Source organism: Homo sapiens, chromosome 13, assembly GCF_000001405.40.
Source record: "Homo sapiens chromosome 13, GRCh38.p14 Primary Assembly".
In the NCBI taxonomy this organism is placed as follows: domain Eukaryota; kingdom Metazoa; phylum Chordata; class Mammalia; order Primates; family Hominidae; genus Homo; species Homo sapiens.
Window position 1 is genome coordinate 76,016,486 of NC_000013.11, and position 4,534 is coordinate 76,021,019.

At 41.1% G+C, this 4,534-nt stretch overlaps 1 annotated feature.

The window, feature by feature from the left end:
* Positions 468 to 517: a silencer, noted in NCBI's record as "silent region_5408". NCBI's record gives its function as "represses an Ori minimal core promoter by ATAC-STARR-seq in GM12878 lymphoblastoid cells {active_cell/tissue: GM12878}" and the evidence as "EXISTENCE:reporter gene assay evidence [ECO:0000049][PMID:35858748]".

Consider the following 4,534-nt stretch of genomic DNA (forward strand, 5'->3'; position numbering starts at 1 on the left):
ATGTTAATGATGCAAGATCACATCTCTAAAGAGCAAGGTTTGCCTCAGAGATGCATATTCCATCTGTTTCCCACAACCTCTAAATTTCAGAAACCTCTGTAGCGGTCCAGGAAGGGATTTAAGGATCCTCCTCACATTTATGGTTAAGAACCTGGCTCAAAGTGACACAGTTGCCAAGAGGCCAAACCAGTATTTAAACTCGGGCATTGATGCTCTAAATCACTATGCTTGGAGTTCCACAGATATTTGTTAAATGGATAAATAAATCTGTAAAATGAGGCTTCATGCTATTTCGTATGGCTATAAAGATTAAGTTAGAACACCAGAAATTTGAGAATCACCTGATTTTTTTCTTCTTATCACTTATCAGTAATCAATTTCACTTTCATGATATACCTCAGACCTCACCATTCCCCCCATCAGCACAGTGGCCACCTGAGTCCAAGCTGTTACCACCTCTCCTACTGGACTAGACCAATAGCATCTTAACTTGGCTCCACTTTTGTGCCCTCTACAGTCTGTTTTCCACATTGCAGCCATAGTGCCCTTTACTGACATCTTATAAATAAGATCTTCTCCTTCCTCTGCTAAAAAACCTTCAGTCCTTTCTTAGTGCCCTCAGGACAAATAACTGTGAGCAGCATGGACTTGGCCTGCCATTGCTGGTGTCCATGCTTGCACAACTCTGTGCTCCCTGAACCCATAGCCCCAGCCACGCTGGCCCTTCACTTCCTCCATAGCCGCCCTTTCTGTTTCGGGGACTTCCCAAATATTGCCTGGAATATTCTTACTGTTCCCCTTTCTTTGGCTTACTTAAATTGATCTTTTTCAAATTTCCTTAGAGAGATTTTTCACCATCCTTAGTTTTTTGGTTTTCCTTCATGTGACATTTCACTCTTTATAGCTGTATAATTATTTATGTCACTATTTTGTTGTCAACCTTCTGAACAGGGACGTATCTCTGTTGCTAATTATTGGTGCCCAGCATTAAGCATGTACTATGTCCATCATAAACACTTGTTCAATTGAATTGGTCTAAGATATGTGCAAGGAAACGAAGAGCAGGAAGCATAGATGTGGATAAGGGACCGCTGCACAGACTCAGATGGTTTTTCTTCAGGTAGAGATGTAGTCTTGCTAATTCTGATTTTGGCTCAAGGTTCACGAGTGCCCCAGAATGTTATGAGCTGTGATTAGAAAAGACTGTGGCATAGCAGAATTGGGTAATTTCTTGGGCTGTCCACGTGTCCTTGCAAGTGGAGGGAAGTGGGTACGTTTGAGGGAATACAGCTGAGTTCCTGTGGGATGAGATGGGAGAGGCTAAGAGTGCTAAATCAAGGCTGACTCTTGTTTCTGTGTTTTCTCACTTATTCTTCATAATTCCTTGACATAGGCAATATTATCCTCATTTTACATTTTGGGCTATATGTGCAGCATTTCCGGCAGCTTTGTTCTCCACTAGAGAATCTACAGCTAGAGAAGAGCTTACTGATCTGGACTGTCTTTTGTGTGCTCACCTCACTTCTGAGAAGTGTGTGTTCCTCCGGCTAATTACTGAGAGAACTCAACCTGCAGGGTGTAGGAGGCGGCAAAGGAGAAGAGTAGGGCTGTCTCTTCCAGTCACTTTGTAACCCATGTGAAACATTAAAGTATATTTAAAAAAATCTAAAAACTGTTATCTGAGATATAGTAAAAGTTTAAAAGGTAGTTACAAGTACCAGGTTGTACACTTGCCAGAGTAATGGTACCCTAGTCGTAGAGAAAGCGCTTGCTAAAATATGTGTCATAAAATTGCTTTTCATTTTCCTGGTACATAGAGCTGAGAGGCATTAGGTGTCTTTGAACCTTGACATTTCCTCTCTGTTCTTGTGGCACATTATAATTTATCCTGTCAGCATGCCCCAGATTATTGCTGACTGATCTTGGTTGCATGCATACAATAGATGGAGTGGAAATTTGAGGCTAAAGTCTCTTCAGAATTATGGACTCCATGACTCCTATAAGGCTCCTGGTAAGTTTCTTGATTTGTTTGAAAGTCTTTCAAAGTGAATGGGTAGACTTTGTTAAGAAAACAACATACAATGTCAAGAACAGTAGAAGACACTATTGTTTACTGTTAAAAAGAAACTAGCTTCAGCAGCAGTTAAATGAACACGTTCAGAAACAGTTATGTGACCATGAAAGATAAATACGACTACTAAGATTTAAGTTCTGTTAAACCTAAGAAAGTTAAGTTCATAACAAAATGAGTAAAACTTCTTTCAATGGTATTTATGAGTGAAACAGAAGTTTCTAGTCTATTTTTCTATGCATGTGAAATTTTCGAAATGATCATTTTTCATATGCTATAGCTCCTTAAATTGGTTTGGATATATGTGTGTACACACGCGCGAGCGCACACACACACACACACACAATATTAGTCCTCCATTTCTGTGGGTTCCACATCCATGATTCTGCCAGCTGTCGATGAAAAATATTAGGGAAAAAACAATACAAATAATACAAAAATAAAAAATAATATAAATTTTAAAATGCAGTATAACAACTATTTACATAGCATTTGCATTGTATTAAGTATCAAAAGTAATCTAGAGGTGACTTAAAGTATACAAGTGGCTGCGTCTAAATTATATGCAAATACCATGCCATTTTATACCAAGGACTTGAGCACTGAGGATTTTGGTATCTCGTGGGTCCTAGAACCAATCCCCTCCCTAATAGATACTGAGGGATAACTGTATGTATATGTATACGTACATACTTAGTAACTGACTTCTGTCCAGGCATCTTACACATATGATGACACAATCTGAATGTAAATCTTCAATAGACTTTGTTAGGCTTGCTTTCTTTGTTCATTGAGCAGAATGCAATAAGCCAATATGTATAAATAGCACCAGCATAGTCTTCACTTAGTCATCTAGGTGAAATGGGAAAAGTTCCCTATGCCCCTCTCAGGGTGTGCAACGGGGTGTGGCTCGCTTCTTCAGTGCCATGCTGCTCATACTCCTGGAGGGAGCATGCAGATGGAGGGTTGCGGGGCTCCGACTCCACAGCACTATCTAGTGGCTAATGTTTTACAGCCGAAGCCCCAGTGGGCCTGTGTTACAGTGTGCTCTTTGAGTTCTGCCGTCTGCGCGCGGCTTGTGTTAGTCAGCTCAATTAGACCTTTTGCCTTATAGCAAGGACAGAGGGCTTTCTGTATCCCGGGTTCTTGACTCTGTGTGGCTTGGAGAATGAATGCAAAGTTTTATTGACAGTGGAAACTCTCAGCAGATGATGGGGACCCAGAAGGGGCATGGAGCGGGAAGGTGGTTTTCCCCTGGAGTTGGCCGCTCAGTAGCTGGACACTCCTCTGACCGCCTCGGCCAGGCTCCAGTCCTTGTTGTTCACAGGTCAATGGCTTGCCGGCGTCTGCTGGTGCCTGTCGATGTGTTCTTCCTGTCTTCTCCACCTCCAGCCGCCTGTGTGCTCTTTTGCCAGTGTGTTCCTCTCGGCGACCCGCTGCTTGTGTTTCTGCCTGCTAGGGTCTTGGAATTTTTATAGGCACAGGGTGGGGGCGTGGCGGGACAGGGTGGTCTTGGAAAATGCAACCTTTGGGCAGGAAAACAGAAATACCTGTCCTCACCTAGGTCCCTGAGCACAGGCCTGGGGGGTGGATCCCTAGCCAGGGACCTGCCTTTCTCTACCCAGCACTTCCCTGCCCTCTCTCATATCATAGGGACATCTTTATATATTGTCTATGAATATTCAGCATGCAAATTTCTTCATGATACTTAAAAAATACTATGAAAGATAATAAAAACTAGGTGAGGGAGAAATGAAAGACATTTCATTTTTCAAAGAGATTCCTTTGCACAGTAACAGAATTGACCCCATCTTGATGTATTTTTTTCCTCACTGAATGCTTCTGTTAGTAAAGGGATTTCCAGGTTTTAAGTGATGTTCTTGGAAATCCGCAATCTTCTTGGGAAATTATAAAAACGATAATAGGCTGAAATTAAAAGTTCAAAATAGTTATGTGAGAAGGAAAATACAGGAAAACAGACGAATATGACAATCACATGTGGTTCTGAATAGTGTTATTCTCTGTCTACTTATCAAAAGGGCTTTTGTTATATTGAATAACACTTTACTCATATTCCTCCTGAATAAGTTCAGGGAAGAAGTGAACTTTTATGCAGTACCCTTTATGGTGCACTATTTTGTTTTAGAGTTGTTATGAAAACAACTCTAAAACCCAGTTGTATCTTTTGAATTTTAACCTTATTCCCACTGAACCTGTAGCTTGTCTAGGCTTTGGCTAGCTGAGAATTAGAACTGGGTGTGGCGATATGTGAGTCCAGTTGTGCTGAACATGCTGTGGAAGATAGAAAAGAAATGAGGTGTGCTTCTTGTTCTCAAGAATCTCAAGATTTGATCATGAGATAATTTGTCTCATCTTTGTGCATACATGCCCTTGAGGGTTCCTTGAAACAGGAATTAATTATTTAGTTAGTGTCCACTGGGGAAGAAAGAACTATGTTTCCAT